The sequence below is a fragment of the Homo sapiens genome, chromosome 8 (genome assembly GCF_000001405.40).
Source record: "Homo sapiens chromosome 8, GRCh38.p14 Primary Assembly".
NCBI classification, from domain to species: Eukaryota; Metazoa; Chordata; class Mammalia; order Primates; family Hominidae; genus Homo; species Homo sapiens.
The window spans coordinates 33503250-33525355 of NC_000008.11; the positions used below are offsets into that span (position 1 = coordinate 33503250).

Below are 22106 nucleotides of genomic sequence, written 5' to 3' on the forward strand. Positions count from 1 at the left end.
TAGTATATTTTATCTTTCTAATGCCATTTTCTCAGTTTAAAATCCTATAGGTGTGTGAAAATGGGAGGTATTCAAATACATAGTATACATTTAATACTTTGTACTGAATGTATTAAATACATCCAAGCAAGTTCTCAAGAGAAAATCGGCTGAGTTTTGCACCTTAAGGCTGCTATTACCTGGGCCAAGTATGTTGCATGAGAAGTTTTAGGGTTTCCAATATCTTCAGTCTAGCTTCCTCCTCAGGTCCATCATAAACCTCCAGATAACCAATGATGACTCTCTCCAGCCTCTTTAAGTGCCGGACAGTTAGGATCCCCAACCTAAAGATGAAAGAGAAAATATGACGCCAGTGCAGTGGCTCATGCCTGTAATCCCAGTACTTTGGGAGGCTGAGGTGGGAGGATTGCTTGAGGCCAGGAGCTCGAGAGCAGCTCAAGCAACATAGCAAGATCCTGTCTGTATAAAATAATAATAAATAAAAGCCCAGGGCCTCACCTGTTCACGAAAGCCGGCAGGTTTCTTGCGTAGGTCCTGCGTAAAAGAAGGCGGTGCTCTGGCTCCATGTGGGTCAGGATCAGCCGCAGGACCTCATCACAATGGGTGGTGGGTCGAGCTCCATCTCCTTTCCAGTGCAGGGTTTTCTCCAGGATGGGGAATAAATCCAGCAGACACAGGAGCACAGCCTAGGAGGAAGGAATGGAAGGACGGTGCATAGTTCATCCATTTGCATTTACAATACTCACTGACTTCTCTAGAACTTCATTAATCTACCGTCCTTAGGGTCCATACCAGAGAATTCTAAGATACTAGTAATCATATATGAACTGCACATTACTTTACATTTTCAAACTTTTTTACATTCTTAATCTCCATCTGACAGTCTCAAATCAATACATTCTCCTCAGGACCATTCTTTGCTAATTTATAAAATCGGAAAAATGGCAGAGCTGGGACTTTAATCCAGATTTTAGGAATCTAAGTCTACTGTTACTATGTCACTAAGTCTAAGTGACTTAGTGATACATGATATTTACACATTTTTTTTTTTTTTTTTTTTTTTTTGTGAGACAGAGTCACTCTGTCACCTAGGCTGAAGGACAGTGGTGCAATCTTGGCTCACTGCAACCTCCGCTTCTCAGGCTCAAGCGATTCTCGTGCCTCAGCCACCTAACTAGTTGGGACTACAGGTGTGCACCACCACACTTGGCTAACTTTTCTATTTTTTAGTAGAGACAAAGTTTCACCATCCTGGCCTCAAGTGATCCACTCGCCTTGGCTTCCTAAAGTGCTAGGATTTATCCCTAGGCCAGGGGTATCCAATCTTTTGGCTTCCCTGGGTCACAGTGGAAGAAGAATTGTCTTGGGCTACATATAAAATACACTAACACTAATGACAGCTGATGAGCTTTAAAAAAAAAATGCAAAAAAAATCTTACAACATTTTAAGAAAGTTTACAGATTTGTGTTGGGCTGCATGCAAAGCCATCTTGGGATGCATGCAGGCCATGGCTTGGACAAGCTTGGTTCAGGTACTTCCTTTTAACTTTCCTGGGACCTTTGGTTTTTCTCTTGGTGTTTTGGTTTTCTAAAATTTATTTTCTCTACCACCTTAAGAACCCCAGCCTTTCCGGCTGTTACAATCTGGATTCTCAATACCCAGTATTTAAAATACTGTAAAAAGAAAAAGAGGCTGGGTGCAGTGGCCTATGCCTGTAATCCTAGTATCTTGGGAAGCCAAGGCGGGCGGATCACTTGAGGTCAGGAGTTTGAGACCAGGCTGGGCAACATGGCAAAACCCCGTCTCTGCTAAAAATACAAAAATTAGCTGGGCATGGTGGCACCTGCCTGTAATCCCAGCTACTAGGGAGGCTGAGGCAGAAGGATCGCTTGAACCTGGGAGGCGAAGGTTGCAATGTGCCAAGATCGCGCCACTGTACTCCGGCCTGCATGACAGAGCAAGATCCACCTCAAAAAAATAAATTAAATAAAATAAAAATAAAGGCAGCAGGGTGGGGAGGGGGAAAGGAGGGAAGTAAGGCATAAAAAAGAAACAACGTTGCTTCCACCTCTCATTTTATATAACTTGTTTCTTCTGTCTTTGTAGTTTCTTTCTCCCTCCTAAGAAACTTTTACTTATTCATCCTTCATAAAGCTAAGTATCACCTCCTTCCCAAAACCTCCTAAAGTCAACCCAAACCTAGTTAGTTACCTATTGCTTGAAAGCCACTGCACCTTTTTTTTTTCTTTTTTTTTTGAGATGTAGTTTCACTCTCGTTGCCCAGGCTGGAGGGCAATGGCATGATCTCGGCTCACTGCAACCTCTGCCTCCTGGGTTCAAGCAATTTTCCTGCCTCAGCCTCCTGAGTAGCTGGGATTAGAGGCATGCGCCACCATGCCTGGCTAATTTTGCATTTGTTTTTTAGACGGAGTGTTACTTTGTCACCAGGCTGGAGTGCAGTGGCGCGATCTTGGCTCACCGCAACCTCCGCCTCCTGGGTTCAAGTGATTCTCCTGCTTCAGCCTTCCGAGTAGCTGTGACTACAGACACGTGCCACCATGCCCGGCTAATTTTTTGCATTTTTAGTAGAGATGGGATTTCACCATGTTAGCCAGGATGGTCTCGATCTCCCGACCTCGTGATCCGCCCACCTCAGCCTCTCAAAGTGCTAGGATTACAGATGTGAGCAACCATGCCCAGCAATTTTGCATTTTTAGTAGAACGGGGTTTCTCCATGTTGGTCAGGTTGGTCTTGAACTCCCAACCTCAGGTGGTCTGCCTGCCTCGGCCTCCCAAAATGCTGGGATTACAGGCGTGAGCCCTCGCGCCTGGCCACCCACTGCGCTTTATAGAAACCTCTTCTAATGCAGTCATCATTCTGTACTGTATATATATGTAGACATCTAAGTACATATTCGTATTTACATAAATGTCTTTTCCAAAGCTTATCTTAAAGCCAAAAATCCCTATCCGTTCATTTACTCTTGGAACCATGTCTGTTGGATGAAATAATAAATCACACTCCGATATCTAACATGCAAGAAGTTTCAAGTGTGTGTGCTGATAAAAGGCAAAACAGAACACTTAACTAATAAAAATAGACTTTTTCAGACATAAAGCTGCCTCCAAAGTAACGTACTTTTTTTTTTTTTTTTTTTTGAGATGGAGTCTCGCTCTGTCACCCAGGCTGGAGTGCTGTGGCATGATCTCGGCTCACTGCAACCTCCACCTCCTGGGTTCAAGAGATTCTCCTGACTCAGCCTCCCGAGTAGCTGGGACTACAGACACGTGCCACCACGCCTGGCTAATTTTTCCTATTTTTAGTAGAGGCGGGGTTTCACCATATTAGCCAGGATGGTCTTGATCTCCTGACCTCGTGATCCGCCCGCCTCGGCCTCCCAAAGTGCTGGGATTTACAGGTGTGAGCCACAGTGCCAGGCTTTTTTTTTTTTTTTAAATTGAGATGGAGTCTCGCACTGTCACCCAGGCTGGAGTGCAGTGACGTGACCTCAGCTCACTGCAACCTCCGCCACCCGGGTTCAAATGATTCTTGTGCCTCAGCCTCCTGAGTAGTAGGGACTACAGATGCACAACATCATGCCCGGCTAATTTTTTTGTATTTTTAGTAGAGATGGGGTTTTGGCATGTCAGCCAGGCTGGTCTCGAACTCCTGACCTCAGGTGATCTGCCTCCCTCAGCCTCCCAAAGTGCTGGGATTACAGGCGTGAGCCACCATGCCCAGCCCAAAGTAATATACAATTGACTCAGATGAATAAAAAACACTGTCTTATCTGTGGAGACTCAGGAATGTGGAGGCCTGCTTGGTGCTGAGATATTTTTAACTTGGCAACGCTTTTAGTTATCATCCTCACTTTCCAAGGCAGGAAAATGTCTCTCAATTACTACTACTCACACAATGCAACCTTCTACTCAAATTCAGAGAATCCAGACCCAGTTATGAAGAAATCATACTATTACCTGAATGAGGTGGTGCTCTGGTGTGTACAGGTGGTTGGAAATGGCATGGTATAGGACCTGGGCTCTGTTATACTGGAGCAAATCAGCAGCTGGCTGCAACCAGACAAATCGTCAAATTAAAAGAATAGTTTCCCAAGATTGGCACATGTTGACTATCTTTGAAATTGGATTATGGGTATGAAGCATGAAGAACATGCCATCCCAAAATATGCATGATTGTTTCGAGTTGAAAATATTGCAGAAACTGTAGATTCAGAAAGGGTGAGCTGACTTGTCTCTTTCTGCATGCAGCAAGTGATAAAAGATTCCTCTGGGTGGGGTATGCTTTCCATACCAGGGTAAGAAAACAGCCCTTACAGAGACTTGGAATTGAAGGCTGCAATGGACCTACATAAACTGAACAAAGTAACCTTTATCTTCCACCTATCCATCCCCCCACCACCTACAACCATGTATCTCCTAGTGACTACCCTAGAGCCAAGCATGGTGACTCACACCTGTAACCCCAGCACTTTGGAAAGCCAAGGTGAGAGGCTCACTTAAGGCCAAGTTTGACAGCAGCCTGGGCAACAGAGCAAGACCCTGTCTCTACCAAAAAAAAAAATTAAAAAATTAGTTGGCCTGGTGGTGCATGCCTGTAGTCCCAGCTACTTGGGAGGCTGAGGTGGGAGGATCACTTGAGCCCAGGGGGTTGAGGCTGCAGTGAGCTATGATTGTGCCACTGCACTCTAGCCTGGGTAACAGAGCAAGACCCTGTCTCAAAAAAAAAAAAAAAAAGGAAAATGTACTGCCCCTAGCCACATTTTCTTTGTCCTGTCATTTTTTCTGACAAGACAAAGAAAATGTGGCTAGCGGTAGTAAAAAAAAAAAAAAAAAAAAAAAAAAAAAAAAGACGAAAAATTTATCATTCTTAGTCTAAAAAGTATAAAAGCATATTGCTTTGGCCACTTCTTCAGAATACTCTCTCTTGTGAAGATCCCCATGTACACGTAAAACTAATAAAATGTGTATAGTTTCCTCTTGCTAATCTGCCTGTTGTCAATTTGGTTTCTAGATCCAGGAAAAGAGCCCACTAAGAGATAAAAAGGGGGCTGAGGCCGGGCTCACGCCTATAATCAATCCCAGCACTTTAGGAGGCCGAGGTTGGTGGATCACTTGAGGCCAGGAGTTTAAGACCAGCCTGGCCAACATGGTGAGACCCTACCTCTACAAAAAATTTAAAAAAAAGAAAAAGTAGCTGAGCATGGTGGTGCGTTCCTGTAATTCCAGCTACTCTAGAGGCTGACGCACAAGAATCGTTTGAACCCGGGAGGCAGAGGTTGCAGTGAGCTAAGATCACACCACTGCACTCCAGCCTCCAGCGTAAGCGACAGAGCAAGACTCTGCCTCAAAAAAAAAAAAAAAAAAAAAAGGGCAGGGGGGCAGGGTTGGAGGTGATCTCTGGCTCTCCCCTACAGGTACATGGAGATTAATTATACCACTCTCTCTACTTCTGTGTATATTTTAAAAGCTCCATAGTACAAAGTTTTTTTAAAAAATTTTTCCTTGAGTAATAGCTTCCACATTTGGATATAGTCCCTTTCAGGCTCTGATTTTGTTTGTTTTGTTTTCGTCCTTGAAACTCAACTGTAGGCCGGGCGGGGTGGCTCATCTCTATAATCCCAGCACTATGGGAGCCCAAGACAGGCAGATCACCTGAGGTCAGGAGTTCGAGACGGACGTGGCCAATATGGTGAAACCCCATTTCCACTAAAAATACAAAAATTAGCTGGGTGTGGTGGCTGCTACTAGGGATCCCCAGCTACTAGGGAGGCTGAGGCAAGAGAATCACTTGAACCCGGGAGGCAGAGGCTGCAGTGAGCCAAGATCACACTCCAGCCCAGGCGACAGAGTGATAATGTCTCAAAAAAAAAAAAAAAAAAAGAAAGAAAGAAAGGAAGTAGGCCAGGTGCAGTGGCTCACGCCTGTAATCCCAGCACTTTGGGAGGCTGAGGCTGAGGCAGGTGGATCACAAGGTCAGGAGTTGAAGACCGGCCTGGCCAAGATGGTGAAACCCCATCTCTACTAAAAATACAAAAATTAGTTGGGCATGGTGGCACGCACCTGTAATCCCAGCTACTCGGGAGGCAGAGGCGGAGAATTGCTTAAACCTAAGAGGTGGAGGTTGCAGTGGGACAAGATCACACCACTGCACTCTAGCCTGGGTGATAGAGTGAGACTCCCTCTCAAAAAAAAAAAAAAAAAAAAAGAAAGAAAGAAAATCAACTGTTGACCAGTTCTCAACATCTGGTTATTCAGTTTGATAATGACCCATGCCTTCCTGTTTCTTCTATAATTATCATTTTAGTTATTACATTACCTATAGGATACAACTTCTACCAGGTGGATAGAGGAAAAATATAAGGAGAAAATACAAATAAGTAAAGTTGAATGACTTAGCATTACTAGAAATGAAGAACAGCCAGGAATGACTCAGTCTGTCCTGTCAACACAGATGACAAGCCAGAGGTTGCTTACCACATTAAGCACAATGTGATGGAGACAGTGTACACCCAGGATTTTGTTCTCAGTCTGATAGTCATCTGAAATGACCAATGATGCGGGAAGTACCCTTTCCAGATGCTGGCTCAGCCAGGGCCGAGTGACCTGTTGCAGAGTCCATGAGAAAACATGTTTGATGGCAGGGTTATTCTTCCAGGATTCCCTAAGTGAATACATAGAATTACATTAAGTGACATGGTGATAAGTAGCAAAAAAAAAAAAAAAAAAAACTACTTCAAGCTAAACAGAGTATTTTCATGTCTTTGAAAAAAAAAATACATCGCACATAAGATAACTCTTGATTCTATATCATACATTCTAAGATCTGGATTAAAATAACTTCCATAACTTACACCAAATAATCATCCAGGGCTTTGGGTCTACAGCCTATCCAATGAGAAGGAGTCAATTATAACCAGAGCTACATAAAGGACTTATGGTGATGGATGGTGAAGGTATGTTGAGAAGGGAGGGAGGAGTAAAGGAAATGGATTAGTAGTATTACACTAAGGAAACAAATGAATCAACACTTGAACACCTGTTAATCGCTAATAAAGTGAGTGTACACACGACTTAACTAATTCTCAAAATAATTACTGTGTAATAGGTACATTATATTTATTTTGAAATAGAGTCTCACTCTATTGCCCAGGCTGGAGTGCAGTGGCACCATCTGGGTTCACTGCAACCTCCGCCTCCCAGGCTCAAGCGATTCTCCTGCTTCAGCCTCCCGAGTAGATGGGATTACACACTTGCACCACCATACCCGGATAATTTTTATATTTGTAGTAGAGACGGGGTTTCACCATGTTGCCCAGGCTGGTCCTGAATTCCTGGCCTCAAGTGATCTGACAGCCTTGGCCTCCCAAAGTACTGGGATTACAGGTGTCAGCCACCACACTCCGCCAAGTATATTATCTTTATATTAGAAACAAACAGATTCAGATAACTGTCTAATCTGGTCCTACTCAGAGCAACAAATAGAAGCACGAAACTCAAAATCAAGCCTTTTAATTCCGTGTTCCTGGTAAAATGACAGTTACAGATACTTTTTCTCTCATTACTCCAGTGCTAACAAAGTAGCAAGTGGAAACTCATTGAAAGAACTTCAGCTAACAGTAATCTAAAGGTGCTTTTCACTTTTTATCCTAAACATGGCTTTCTTAGCTGATAGTCATCCTTCTCTAACAAGCAGTAATGAGATTCAAGATCCCCAAGTCTAAATTCAAACCATAAGTTTAAATCCTCTCTAAATCCCCCATCCAAATTCTAGTAATTTGTAATTTTTTTTGAGACGATGTCTTGCTCTGTTGCCCAGATTGGAGTGCAGTGGCCCGATCTCAGCTCACTGCAATCTCTGCCTCCTGGTTTCAAGCGATTCTACTGCCTCAGCCTCCCGAGTAGTTTGGATTACAGGCGTCCACCACCATGCCCAGCTAATTTTTGTATTTTTAGTAGAGATGGGGTTTCACAATGTTGGCCAGGCTGGTCTCGAACTCCTGACCTTAAGTGATCCACCCGCCTCGGCCTCCCAAAGTGCTGGGACTACAGGAGTGAGCCACCTCGCCCGGCCACATTTTGTAATTATTAACTCCAAGTAAGTGGGACAGAATTTCCAATTTTCCTAGGCAGTCGTCCTAAGGGCTGGAAAGAGCATTGGACAACTGAGCCCGAACATCTCAGTTATGACCTCCAATTTGCCACTATCCAGTTATGTCATTTATAGCAAATCACAACGTTTCTGGGCCTTAAGAGATCCGTGGTTACAGCACCCTTATTTTACTGCTGAAGAAATTGAGCTTCCTTTGAGGTATAACGCTATAAAAAATTAAGCTAGGGCAGGCGCAGTGGCTCACGCCTGTAATCCCAGCATTTTGGGAGCCCGAGGCGGGTGGATCACTTGAGGTCAAGAGTTCAAGACCAGCCTGGCCAACATGGTGAAACCCCGTCTCTACTAAAAATACAAAAAATCAGCCAGGCGTGGTGACGGGCAACTGTAATCCCAGCTACTCCGAAGGCTGACACAGGAGAATCGCTTGAACCCAGGAGGCGGAGGTTGCAGTGAGCTGAGATCGCAACATTGCACTCCACCCTGGGCAACAAGAGTGAAACTCTGTCTCGAAAATAAATAAATAATAAAAAATAAAAATAAAAAACTGTGAGGCTCAAGTCGGTGGCAAAGGGCAGGAGTACTCACTTATACAAGTCGGGTTTGAGAAGCCCTAGTATCACCGAAAGTCTCCCTTTCTCATCTTCATTTTCTCCATGTAGGAATCCTGCCACAGAACCGCATTCAGTAACTTGAAGCAGTGAGGTGAGCACCTCCCTAGCAACTTCCCGAGATCTCGGAGTGGTCCATGGTTGCTCCAAGCTGTGTGTGATGGCAAAAATATAAACGGGTCCTGCCAAGTGATGCAGGCCCGTCTGCCATGCAGGGCCGACCAGGGAATTCTTAGCAGTCTCAACTTTCCCTAACAGTTTAAGAAACAGTAACCCAACTTGGGCTGCTTTCTCGGCCGCTTCGGAGTGCCCATCACCTCCACCTTCCTCCTCCTTGGAGGGGGCTGCATACTTCTCCAGGGCTTTTGCTACCTGCCCCAGTGTCTCCGGCATTCCGCGGAGCCGTGCACCAGTCCCCTCAAATAACCTATCAAATTCTGTGGCTTCTATTAGATCACCGAGGTCTTTAAGAACTGCATCTTTTACATTGCCTCGTCGTGCCTCCGGGCGGGCAAGACAGTGTAAAATCTTGGAGAAGGCCTGTCCAAAGGCGGAGTGAGACAACTCCTCGGACAAATTAGAGTCTTCCTGCGATGGGGCTTCCAGAGCGCTGTCAAGCTCCATTCCTGACTGCAGCACCAGAAGGCTGGTCTCTCCCACAGAACGAGGATGGAGGCGGGGAGGGATCCGTTGAAGAGGGAAGGAGCGATCACCCAAAGAGAACTAAAATCAAATAAAATAAAACAGAGAGATGTCTTGGAGGAGGGGGCGAGTCTGACCGGGATAAGAATAAAGAGAAAGGGTGAACCCGGGAGGCGGAGTTTGCAGTGAGCCGAGATCGCGCCACTGCACTCCAGCCTGGGCGACAGAGTGAGACTCCGTCTCAGTAAAAAAAAAAAAAAAAAAAAGAATAAAGAGGAAAGGACGCAAGAAAGGGAAAGGGGACTCTCAGGGAGTAAAAGAGTCTTACACTTTTAACAGTGACGTTAAAAGACTACTGTTGCCTTTCTGAAGACTAAAAAGAAAAAAAACTTAAAAATTTAAAGAAATAAACTTCTGAGCCATGTCACCAACTTAACCACCCCCAGGTACCTGCAACGGCTCGCGCCCGCCGGTGTCTAACAGGATCCGGACCTAGCTCATATTGCTGCCGCAAAACGCAAGGCTAGCTTCCGCCAGTACTGCCGCAACACCTTCTTATTTCACGACGTATGGTCGTAAAGCAATAAAGATCCAGGCTCGGGAAAATGACGGAGAGGTGGAACTATAGAGAATAAATTTGCATATATAATAATCCGCTCGCTAATTGTGTTTCTGTTTTCCTTTGCTAAGGTAGAAACAAAAGAATAATCACAGAATCTCAGTGGGACTTTGAAAATATCCAGGATTTTATACGTGAAGAATGGATGTATCGCATTACGGTAGTCACCCTATGTGTAAATTAGTGGCACATACTTGGCACTCCTTAATGTCAACTATAAGATGATCCTTTTGTAGTTCATGAGCGTGATGATTGGGTGTTCATACGCTTGTGTGAGATGTGCCACCCTTGAACCTTGTTACGACGTGGGCACATTACCCGTCTGACCTGAACTTCAAGGATCGATTTAACACTTGTATTTGTGGGCTTGTTACTTATGATAACAGGTGGCCTAGTTTCATGGCTTTGTGTTTACCGTTTTCGGGTGCCCTTTTTTCTGGCTGTATGCTACACGCACGGGTGCTTTTCCGTTGTCCAACTGTGTAATGTGTTTTTGTGTTTGTTCTTTTGTGAGTCGGAGTCTCGCGTTGTCGCCAGGCTGGAGTTGCAGTGTTGCGATCTCGGCTCACTGCAACCCCCACCTCCGGTTTTCGAGAGATTGTCCTACCTCAGCCTCCCGAGTAGCTGGGACTATAGGCGCGCGCCACCACGCCCAGCTAATTTTTGTATAAATATTGGCAAGGATGGTCTCGATCTCTTGACCTCGTGATGCGCCCGCCTCGGCCTCCCAAAGGGCTGGGATTACAGGCGTGAGCCACCGCGCCTGGCCAATGCAGAGCTTTTTAATGGCTTTAATTTTTTAGGTTTGGGAGATACCTGCGCAGGTTTGTTACCTGGATATGTTGTGGGATGCTGGGATTTGGAGTGCAGCTTAGCCCGTTTTCATTGCCCCCTCTAGTAGACCACAGTGTCTGTTGTTGCCACTTTTATGTCCACGTGTTCCTAATGTTTAGCTCCCACTTATGAATGAGAGCATGCGGTATTTGGTTTTCTGTTCAATGCAATACTTTAGCTGGTTTCTGGAGCTAGCGTTTTAAAGCCTGTAGCCACAAGCGTTTGAAAATTCAAATTCTAGCGTCAAGGTAGAAGCCCCCAGCTGGCGTCTGGGGCAGCCCTGAGGGAGGTGGGTCGTCGGGTTGGCGGATCCGGCTTGGGCCCGCCCCGCCAGTGTCGGCGCCGGGTGCGCAGGGACAGCAGAGCGCTGTCTTGGGCATGGGTCGCAGGCGGCGCCCGGAACGGGCCAGGGGAGCTGGAGGCTGCAGACTCGGGCTCGGCGGGTGTAGGAACCAGTGGTGTTTGCTTGGGTTTTGAGAAGGCGCGAGAAGGGTCGCGCCTGTGCGACCGCCCTGTGTTGGGTCCCCCACGCCGCGTCGGCATTGCTTGTTCCCTCTTCCTGCGCTTTCCTGGAGGGTAGAATTGCGTCCGATTGGCCTTCAGTTCCCGAGGAGCTGCTTCCATTTAGGACCTTGTGACTCTCATAGCTTCCACGGTTTCGCAGGAGCCCGAGGAGGCAAACTTCATTTGTGCCACTGCACAGGCGGGAGCTTCGGACCCTGGGAGGGGTGGCGCGAGAGAGACGTGTCGCCAGCTGCTCGGAGAGGGACTCTTATTCAGCCTCTAAGGCGTCAATTGCGCCTCCAGGGTTCCAGGAGTCCAGAGAAAGCCCTTCGGGGTCTTCTGACCTGGGGTAGGGTGAGGGGCGTGTGTGCGCGCAGGGGCGAGGGAGGGGTGACGTGTCAGGTGTCCTTTGTCCTCGCGAGGAGGTGGTTATGGGGTAGAGGGACATACAGTATTTTCGTCCCACCTTGGGGAGCGCACCAGCTTCTTGGTGCACTACTTGCAACTGTCCCATCTGCGGTGTCTTGCTGCCTACTCGCCTGCCCTTCTTTCCATTTTGCTGTCTGACCTTGGGCAAAAGTTCGGTAGCCTCTCTGTGCCTTCATTTCTTTTTATTTTTTATTTAATTAAAAAATATTTTTTTAGAGACAGGGTCTTGCTCCGTGGCCCAGGCAGGAGTGCAGTGGCGTCATCGTATCTCACTGCAGCTTCAAACTCCTGGGTTCAAGCGATCCTCCCGCCTCAGTCTCCCAGTAACTGGGACCACAGGCGCGCCCTACCACACCCTACTAATATTTTCTAATTTTTTTGTAGAAATGGGGTCTCGCTGTATTACCCAGGCTAATCTCGAGCTCCTGGCCTCGCGATCCTCCCTCCTTGGCCTCCTAAAGCGCTTAGATTACAGGTGTGAACCACCCACCTCGCTGGTGCCTTAATTTTTTTTTTCTTTTTCTTTTATTTTTCCTTCCTTCCTTCCTTCCTTCCTTCCTTCCTTCCTTCCTTCCTTCCTTCCTTCCTTCCTTCTTCCTTCTTCCTTCTTCCTTCTTTCTTTTCTTTCTTGTCTCCCTGTCGCCCAGGCTGGAGTGCAGTGGTGTGATCTTGGCTTATAGCAACCTCTGCCTCCCAGGTTCAAGCGATTCTCATGCCTCAGCCTCTCGAGTAACTGGGATTACAGGCACCCACCACGCCCAGCTAATTTTGTATTTTTACCAGACACGGAGTTTCACCATGTTGGCCAGGCTGGTCTCTAAATCTTGACCTCAAGTTATCCACCTGCCTTGGCTTCCCAAAGTGCTGTGATTACAGGCGTGAGCCACCTCGCCCAGCCACCTTAATTTCTTTATCGGAAAAATGCAGGTAGTAATAATTCGTACCACTTAGGAGTGTTGTGAGAAAGGAATTATATGTAAACTGCTTAGAACAATATCTGGTCAGCAGAAAGTTCTACATAGGTGTTGGCTCATGTTAAACCACAGCTCCTGTGTTGTTACATTTCCTCTTTCCAGGGTAATTTTGTGGTTAGGACCCTCCCTCTCGGCCTCTTTCATTCAGCTTTCCCTTCTCTGACCAATTGGTGGCACTCATGATTTTTTAAGCAATTTCAACCACTGGTAACCATCTCCTCCCGAGGGGACTCTCCTGTTTGCAGGCCCAAGTGGAAGCAAGATGCCAATAAATAGACAGTTATTGTGTCCCTCCTGTGTGCAAGCGTCTCTTCCCTGTTCCATGTGCCCCTTGTGCTAAGTGGACCCAAGCTATTACTTCTTATAAGGAAAGCACTTGTATTGTGGAGATCTCCCCATCTGCACTTCTGAGTTTCCTGAAGCCAGAGACCACGTCTTTATTCCCAGTGCCTGGCACAATTTGGTCATGCAATAAATGTTTGTTGAACCCACACATCCATCCACAGAGGACTGGCTGAATAAACTATGTATATCCACACAATGCAGTTTTATGCCGCTGCACAGAGGAAAGAGAACCATCTCTGTGGACTGCCTTGGAAATCTAGGATGTATTGTTAAGTGAAAAAAGCAGGACAGAGACCATGTGTATGTTGCCTTTATTTTTATTTTTCCCCCTTTTCACACGTGTTGAAATGCTGCCTTTCTTGTAAGAAAGATGGGAAAATAGAAATAATGATGTGTGCATTTGCTTACATGTTAAAGATGCAATAGAGTGTAAATTATAAACTAAGAAAAATGGTTATAGGTAAGAAAAGAACGGGGTGAAGGAAATAGGAATGGAAGCTAGATTTCTCTGTATACACTGTGTTTAATAGCTTCAACTTTGGATTCATGTAAATTTTTTTGTTGTTGTTGAGATAGAGCCTCACTCCAGTCCAGGCTGGAGTGCAGTTGTGCGATCTCGGCTCACTGCAGCCTCTGCCACCCCGGGTTCAAGTGATTCTCCTGCCTTAGCCTCCCAAGTAGCTGGGATTACAGGCGCCTGCCACCACACACGCCTGATTTTTGTATTTTTGGTAGAGATGGGGTTTTACCATGTTGGCCAGGCTGGTCTGCAGCTCATGACCTCACGTGATCCACCTGCCTCGGCCTCCCAAATTGCTGGGATTACAGGCATGAGCCACCGCACCCGGCCACATAATTTTTATTTTTTTTTGAAGCAACAAAAGCAGAGACGTATTGAAAATGAAAGTATACTCCTCAGGGCAAGAGTGGGCCAAAGCAAGCAGCTCAAGAGCCTACATAACTATTTTTTTAAAAGAAAATAACAAAGCATTTCCTAAAAGAAAAGAAATAAAGAGTACATTGAGTCACTGGCATAACCACACAAATTAACTGTAAAACTCATTAATTTGACTCTATATCCTTAGTGTGACAAAGCCTAAAATCAGAAAAAAATCAACTGCATTTAATAATGGTATACTGTTGGTAATATTAATATTGTTTAGGTGTGTTTCTTTTGGGTTTGTTTATTTGTTTTTTGAGACAGAGTCTCCCTCTTTCGCCCAAGCTGGAGTGCAGTGGTGCGATCTCGGCTCAGTGCGACCTCTGCCTCCTGGGCTCAAGTGATTCTCCTGCCTCAGCCTCCCAAGTAGCTGGGATTACAGGCATGTGCCACCTTGCCCAGCTAATTTTGTATTTTTAGTAGAGACGGGGTTTCACCACGTTGGCCAGGCTGGTCTCGAACTCCTTACCTCAGGTGATCCACCTGCCTCGGCCTCCCAAAGTGCTCGACCCACCGCGCCTGGCCTGTTTAGGTGTTATTACATGTATTTTGTATAACTTATATATGTATATAAGATAACAAGTAACAATATTATTAGAAACCCAGATTTTCAATGAAAGATAAAAGAGATACTAGTATCAAATCAATTAAGTTAGCTATAAATTCTGTAATCTGATTGAGTCACATATTTGAGTAAACAAATCTGTAATCTGAAATTAGAATTGGCAATGTTGGTATGAATTTATATATGTATATATACACATATACATACATATATATACACACACATATACATATATATATCCCAGTTGTGTCCACTGAAAGGCCAAGAAGAATGACAGTCTAATGGCTGTGAGCACCTGGATGTCCAAATTTGTAGTTTAAATGCCATTTCCCACTAAAAGGAACCAGTGAGGCTTTAGGAAATGATTGATTTCAGAACTAGGGCAGGAATTACACAAGGTGGGCCTGTGGCATTTTGTTATGCCTGAAAGCAAGGTAGCTATTAAATACTGCTGAGGTGATGTGAAAACAAAAACAAAAACAAAAACAACCCAAGGCCCTATAGCTCACGGATTACAGCACTGGTCTTGTAGAGGAGTAATGACTGTAATGAATTAAAACAAATATATACAAATCCATGAGTTCATAATGATACTAAAAAAAATCACTAATCATTCATCTTTGGATCACTTAAGAAAACAAATGTTTATTTTGAGAATTGATATATAAAGGAAAAAAATCAAGCATTTATTCTTCTGTCTATTCGAGGGTACCCAAATCATTCGTAAGGGTCATAAATGCAACAAAATGGTAGAATTAGAAAGTCACTATTCACACCTCCTAATGAAACATTGAGACAAGGCAACTATCATCCATTGTGATTACAATTATGAGGTGAAGGTTGATGGGGAACTTTATAACTGAACTACTGATTTATCGAACATCACTAAAAGCAAGGCAGCCAGGCACCTCTTAATGGAATAAGGTAGGAAGTACACACCACCTATGAAATATTTTTGCCCAAAAATGGACCCTAAATCTAATCAAATTTTTAGGTCTACTACCAAATGACAAGAAACATGAAGGGCAAAGAAACAAAAGACGCCAACAAATTCCACTGATATATTCAAGGAAAGATAAATAAATAAATAAATAAATTTTTTAAAGACACCAAGATGATATAATCAGTCAAGCCAAGGATGAGAACTGATATAGATTAAAAGTTCTAAAATATTCTCAACTAACAATGTTGCATATTCTTTCTTTCTTTCCTTTTTCTTTCTTTCTTTCTTTCTTCTTTCTCTCTCTCTCTCTCTTTCTTTCTTTTTTACAGGCAAGGTCTAGCTTTCTTGCCATGTCAACCTCCCAAAGTGCTGAGATTACAGGCGTGAGCCACTGTGCCCCACCAGATCTTATTTTCTTTCCCTCCTTTTCTTTCTTTCTTCTTTCTTTCTTTCTTCCTCTCCCTCTCCCTTTCTTTCTTTCTTTCTTTCTTTCTTTCTTTCTTTCTTTCTTTCTTTCTTTCTTTCTTTCTTTCTTTCTTTCTTTCTTTCTTTTTCTTTCCTTTCTTTCTTTCTTTCGAGATAGAGTTTCATTCTTGTTGCCCAGGCTGGAGTGCAACAGCGTGATCTCAGCCCACCGCAACCTCCACCTCCCTGGTTCAAGTGATTCTCCTGCCTCAACCTCCCGAGTAGCTGGGATTACAGTCATGCACCACCATGCACAGCTAATTTTGAATTTTTAGTAGAGACAGAGTTTCTCCATGTTGGTCAGGCTGGTCTCGAACTCCCAGCCTCCGGTGATCCGCCCACCTTGGCCTCCCAAGGTGTTGTGAAACGGAGTCTTGGTCTGTTGCCCAGGCTGGAGTGCAGTGGCATGATCTCGGCTCACTGCAACCTCCATCTCCTGGGTTCAAGCAATTCTCCTGCCTCAGCCTCCCAAGTAGCTGGGATTACAGGCATGTGCCACCGTGCCCGGCTAATTTTTGTATTTTTAGTACAGATGGGTTTTTGCCATGTTGGCCAGGCTGGTCTCAAACTCCTGACCTCAGGTGGTCCGCATGCCTCGGCCTTCCAAAGTGCTAGGATTATAGGTGTGAACCACTGCGCCCGGCCCAGATCTTATTTTCAGTAAATAAATTATAGGCCAGGTGCAGTGGCTCATGCTTGAGCCCAGGAGTTCTAGACCAGCCTGAGCAACAAGTGAGACCCTGTCTCCACAAAAAAATAAAAAATAAACCCACCCAAATTGTAAAAAGACATATTTAAGACAATCAGGGAAACGTGAATATAGATTAGTTATTAGGGTGTTCATATAATTTGTCATCTAAGCAGAATATGTTGAGAGTTCAAGGAGGCTCTATTAACAGTTGTGCTGGGACAAAGGTGTAAACTGGATTTGTCCCAGGCAAATGTGATTATCCTAGTATTACACAATTTTGTGGAATCACTGTTAATTTTTTAAATTGATAATGTTAGCACATTTATGTTTTTTTGAAAGCTATTAGTCAGAAAAGCAGTTCTGAAAGGTTTTAGTCTCAGGATCCTTTACACTCTTAAAAATTATTGAGTCATACTCATTAGGATGGCTAGAATGAAAAACACTGAAAATAAGTTTTGGCAAGGATGTAGAGAAATTGGAAGATAAATTGGAATGCTCATACATTGCTGATTAAAATGTAAAATGGTGCAGCTGCTATGTAAAACAGTTTGACAGTTTCTTAGAAAGTTAAACATAGAGTTAGCCATAGGACCCAGCAGTTCTATTCCTAGATATATTGCCAAGAGAACTAAAAACATGTATTCATACAAAAACTTGGCTACAAATGTTCATTGCTGCATTATTTGTAATATCCAGTGGAAACAACCCAAAAGTCAACTGATGATTGGGTAAACAAAATGTGGTATATACATACAATGGAATATTATTTAGCTATAAAAAGGAATGAAGTTCTGATACATACCACAACATGGATGGACCTTGAAGACATTATGCTAAGTGAAAGAAGCCAGAAACAAAAGGCTACATATTGTATGATTCCATTTATCTGAAATGCCCAGAATAGGCAAATCTGTAGAGTCAGAAAGTACATTAGTGGTTGCCAGGAGATAATGGGAGGGGATATTTAGAAGTTACTAATAGGCTGGGTGCGGTGGCTCATGCCTGTAATCCCAGCACTTTGAGAGGCCGAGGCAGGCGGATCACAAGGTCAGGAGTTCGAGACCAGGCTGGCTAATATGGTAAAACCCTGTCTCTACTAAAAATACAAAAATTAGCTGGGCATGGTGGCAGGCGCCTGTAGTCCCATCTATTCGGGAGGCTGAGGCAGGAGAATCGCTTGAACCCGGGAGGCAGAAGTTGCAGTGAGCCAAGATCGCGCCACTGCATTCCAGCCTGGGTGATAGAGTGAGACTCCATCTCAGGAAAAAAAAAAAAGAAGGGACTAAAATGGGTATAGGGTTTTCTTTTGGGGTGATAAAAAGGTTTTGGAATTAGCTAGTGGCAGTGGCTGCCCAACCTTACAAATATACCAAAACCTACTGAAGTGTACACTTTATTTTTTATTTTTTTGAGGCAGAGCCTCACTCTGTCACCTAGGCTGGGGTGCAGTGGTTCAATCTTGGCTCACTGCAACCTCTGCCTCCCGAGTTCAAGCAATTCTCCTGCTTCAGCATCCCAAGCAGCTGGGATTACAGGCTTGTGCCACCACACCCGGCTAATTTTTGTATTTTTTATTAGAGGTAAGGTTTTGTCATATTGGCCAGACTGGTTTCAAACTCATGGCCTCAAGTGAGCTGCCCACCTTGGCCTCCCGAAGTGCTGGGATTATGGGTGTGAGCCAGCGTGCCCAACCATTAGGTGTATATTTTATTTATTTTTTGTGTTTCTTGTTTTTTGTTTCTGAGGTGTACATTTTAAAACAGTGAAGCTGCTGGTCATGGCAGTATGTGCCTGTAATCCCAGCAACTCAGGAGACTGAGGCAGGAGGATTGCTTGAACCCAGGAGTTTGAGGCTGCAGTGAGCCATGAATGCACGATTGCACTCCAGCCTGGGAGACAGAGTGAGACCCCAACTCTAAAATAATTAAAAATAAATAAAATTGTGAATCTAGTGGTTTATGAATTAAATCTCAAAAATATTTTAGAAGTATTGGCCGGGCGTGGTGGCTCATGCCTGTAATCCCAGCACTTTTTTGGGAGGCCAAGGCGGGTGGATCACCTGAGATTGGGAGTTCAAGACCAGCCTGACCAACATGGTGAAACCGTCTCTCTATTAAAAAAATACAAAATTAGCTGGGTGTGGTGGTTCATGCCTGTAATCCCAGGTACTCCGGAGGCTGAAGCAGGAAAATCACTTGAACCTGGGAGGCAGAGGTTGCGGTGAGCCAAGATCAAGGCATTGCACTCCAGCCTGGGCAAGAAGAGTAAAACTCCATCTCAAAAAAAAAAGACAACTCTCTCTATATATATATTAGAAGTATTAAGGACCCCAAAGAGCTTTTCTTTATGTGTGATGCGTAAATATTCAGATAAATGGATTATTTTCTACATTAGAAATTAAAACTGAAAAAATTTTTAAAATACTCATTTGATTTTTAAAAACAGGTCTGGTGCGTTGGCTCATGCCTGTAATCCCAGCACTTTGAGAGGCCGCGGTGGGTGGATCACCTGAGGTCAGGAGTTCAAGACCAGTGTGGCCAACATAGCAAAACCTCATCTCTACTAAAAATTAGCTGGGCGTGGTGGCAAGCACCTGTAGTCTCAGCTTCTTGGGAGGCTGAGACAAGAGAATTGCTTGAACCTAGGAGGCGAAGGTTGCAGTGAGCCGAGATTGCGCTACTGCACTCTAGCCTAGGTGACAGAGCAAGATTCCATCTCAAGAAAAAATAAAATAAAATTTAAAAAACATAGTAATAATAAACATATTACATGTTAAGGACTTATTTTTATGAAAATAAGTATATTTTTCAAACAGCATCGTGACGAGTGATATTGTTTTACACTTTTGTCAATAGATTTGTAAAAATTTGCAACTCTGTCATATCTGGTTTAATAGGAGACAGCTGGATTTTCAGATTTGTGGCTGCATTCAATCTGTGTTGGAAAATTCTGCTGTACACGAGATAATGAGAACAAAAAGATAAACAATATATTAATATTGTTATAAAAATAGTTTTGACTTAGCAGGCTGCCTGACAGGGTCTTGGTAAGTCCCAGGAATCCAGACCACACTTTGTGAAGTATTATTAGAAACACACACAAGTATTAATTGTTGAAATGATGCAATGTCTGGGATTTGTTTTAAAATTCCCAACACTGGGCAGTAGACACTAAGCAGACCAGATTCCACTTGCTAGTGGGCATTGCTCAGCTTCCTCTGTGACTATGTCTGACAAGTCCAATATGGATGAGATCGAGAAATTCAGTAAGTCGAAACTGAAGAAGACAGAAATGCAAGAGAAAAATCCACAGCCTTCCAAGGAATGGATCGAACAGGAGAAGCAAGCAGGCTTCGTAATGAGGCGTGCATCGCCAATATGCACTGTTCATTCCACAAAGCATTGCTTTCTATTTTACTTCTTTTAGCTGTTTAACTTTGAAGGATGCAAAGAGGTCAAATCAAGTTTAAATGACTGTGCTGCCCCTTTCACATCAAAGAACTGCTGATGATGATGGCTGTGCCAGCCTCTCTTATCCGCCTGTCTGGCTGGCAGGGAAGGAAAGAACTTGCATTTTGGTGAAGGAAGAAGTGTGGTAGGATAGCAGTGAAATCTAGAATAAAACCAAGCTGGCCCAAGGCATCCTGCAGGCTGTAAAATGCAGTTTAATCAGAGTGCCATTTTTTGTGGTTATTGTTCAAATAATTTTAATTATGAGAATGCATAATTTTTTTTTTGAGACTGAGTTTTGCTCTTGTTGCCCAGGCTGGAGTGCAATGGTGCGATCTCAGCTCACTGCAACCCCACCTCCCAGGTTCAAGCAATTCTCCTGCCTCAGCCTCCCGAGTAGCTGGGATTACAGGTGCCTGCCACCATGCCCAGCTAATTTTTTTTTTGTATTTTTAGTAGAGACGGGGGTTTCACCATGTTGGCCAGGCTAGTCTTGAACTCCTGACCTCAGGAGTTCAACACCTGCCTCGGTCTCTCAAAGTGCTGGGATTACAGGTGTGAGCCACCGCGCCTGGTTCAATTTTTAAAATAGGCAAATAAAAAGTTTAAAAACTTGAAAAATAAAATTCTCCATGACAGGGGATGGTGGTGAAGGAGTGGTCAATAGCTAGATGAAAAAGATTATCAACATCTTGACAACTGTAGAAGCTGGGTGATGGATCACAGATGTCCTCTATGTTAATCTCACTTCTTTAGTGTAACTCTGAAATTGCCCATAATAAAAGTTGTTGTTATTAGCTGGGCACAGTGGCTCATGCCTGTAAGCCCAGCACTTTAGGAAGCTGAGGTGGGAGGATCACTTGAGCTCAGGAGTTTGAGACCAGCCTGGGCAACATAGTGAGACCTCATCCCTACTAAGAATAAAAAAATTAGCCGGGCGTTAGTGGCACATGCCTGTGGTCCCAGCTACTTGGGAGGCTGTGGTGGGGGGATCGCTTGAGCCAAGGAGGTCAAAGCTGCAATGAGCTGTAATCATACCACTGCACTCCAGCCTGGGTGACAGAGCAGGTTGCTGTCTCAAAACAAAACAAAACAAAAACAAAAAAATTGTTGTTATTGCCCTTATTTCAATCAATGCTTATTTAGCAGAACAAAAGACCTGGAGGTAGTTGGTAGGAGGAAAAACCAAGTTAGGGACTGGATATGTAAAGATGCAAAGATAAATTAGATACAGTTCCTGCATTCAACAGGTTTTCATCTGACGAGGGGAAACTGATACATAGCTGGAAAGAACTATAAGGAAGACATCTGATAAAGAACCCATCATATTTAATGAGCACCAGGCACTCTGCTGAGGGCCTTACATGCACTTCCTCCTCAAGGCAACCCTCTCAGACTCGCATCATTATCTCCATCTTGCAGAGGAGGAAACTGAAGCTCTGAGAAGTTGAGTAACTCGCCCAAGATCTCACAGCGGAAAGTGGTAGAGCTGCAACTTACACTTCGGTTTGTTGACTCCAAAGCCTGTGCTTTTCATGGCTCCACCCTTTCTTTCTAAACCTTTCAGTTACACAATCCTGGAACATCACTGTCACTGTGTACCACATAAATGGCACTCATCAGAGGCCCTGCTGGCGACCTAAAGGAGCCCACAGTCTTTAGAGAACAAAAAATATTATCAGCCAGGTTGGTCTTTACACTGTACCTATGTCCTCATTCAATCCTCACAATTTAAACTCATGGAGTAGGGGCTAGGCGGGGTGGCTCACACCTCTAATCCCAGCACTTTGGGAGACCGAGATAGGCGGATTGCTTGAGGTCAGGAGTTCGAGACCAGCTTGGCCAACATGGTGAAACCCTGTCTACTAAAAATATAAAAATTAGCCGGGCATGGTGGTGGGTGCCTGTAGTCCCAGCTACTTGGGAGGCTGAGGCAGGAAAATTGCTTGAAACTGGGAGGCAGAGG

At 44.3% G+C, this 22106-nt stretch overlaps 1 protein-coding gene, 1 non-coding gene and 1 pseudogene across 6 annotated transcripts in view, besides 3 other annotated features; 2 read left to right on the forward strand and 1 right to left on the reverse strand.

Annotated features, from left to right (window-relative positions):
• Positions 1-9886, reverse strand: part of TTI2 (TELO2 interacting protein 2) — a 14414-nt gene extending 4528 nt beyond the window's left edge. Inside the window, exons 1-6 of one of the 5 annotated variants that reach the window (NM_001102401.4) lie at positions 9833-9886; positions 8718-9463; positions 6497-6683; positions 3980-4072; positions 499-686; positions 180-323 (exon numbers count right to left, since the gene is read on the reverse strand). In NM_001102401.4, the coding sequence (NP_001095871.1) occupies positions 180-323; positions 499-686; positions 3980-4072; positions 6497-6683; positions 8718-9364 (1259 nt within the window). In that variant the 5' untranslated portion in view covers positions 9365-9463; positions 9833-9886. Of the gene's footprint in view, positions 1-179; positions 324-498; positions 687-3979; positions 4073-6496; positions 6684-8717 lie in introns of all 5 variants that reach the window. The other 4 variants (NM_001265581.2, NM_001330505.3, NM_001440381.1 and 1 more) reach the window with 4 other exon arrangements.
• Positions 9918-10057: an enhancer, noted in NCBI's record as "active region_27220". NCBI's record gives its function as "activates an Ori minimal core promoter by ATAC-STARR-seq in GM12878 lymphoblastoid cells {active_cell/tissue: GM12878}" and the evidence as "EXISTENCE:reporter gene assay evidence [ECO:0000049][PMID:35858748]".
• On the forward strand, positions 10226-10329 carry SNORD13 (small nucleolar RNA, C/D box 13). Its single transcript, NR_003041.1, has one exon. It is a non-coding gene; the product is annotated as a small nucleolar RNA, C/D box 13 (small nucleolar RNA).
• Positions 10488-10537: a silencer, noted in NCBI's record as "silent region_19098". NCBI's record gives its function as "represses an Ori minimal core promoter by ATAC-STARR-seq in GM12878 lymphoblastoid cells {active_cell/tissue: GM12878}" and the evidence as "EXISTENCE:reporter gene assay evidence [ECO:0000049][PMID:35858748]".
• Positions 11578-11867: an enhancer, noted in NCBI's record as "active region_27221". NCBI's record gives its function as "activates an Ori minimal core promoter by ATAC-STARR-seq in GM12878 lymphoblastoid cells {active_cell/tissue: GM12878}" and the evidence as "EXISTENCE:reporter gene assay evidence [ECO:0000049][PMID:35858748]".
• Positions 19847-20424, forward strand: LOC100630919 (thymosin beta 4 X-linked pseudogene; annotated as a pseudogene).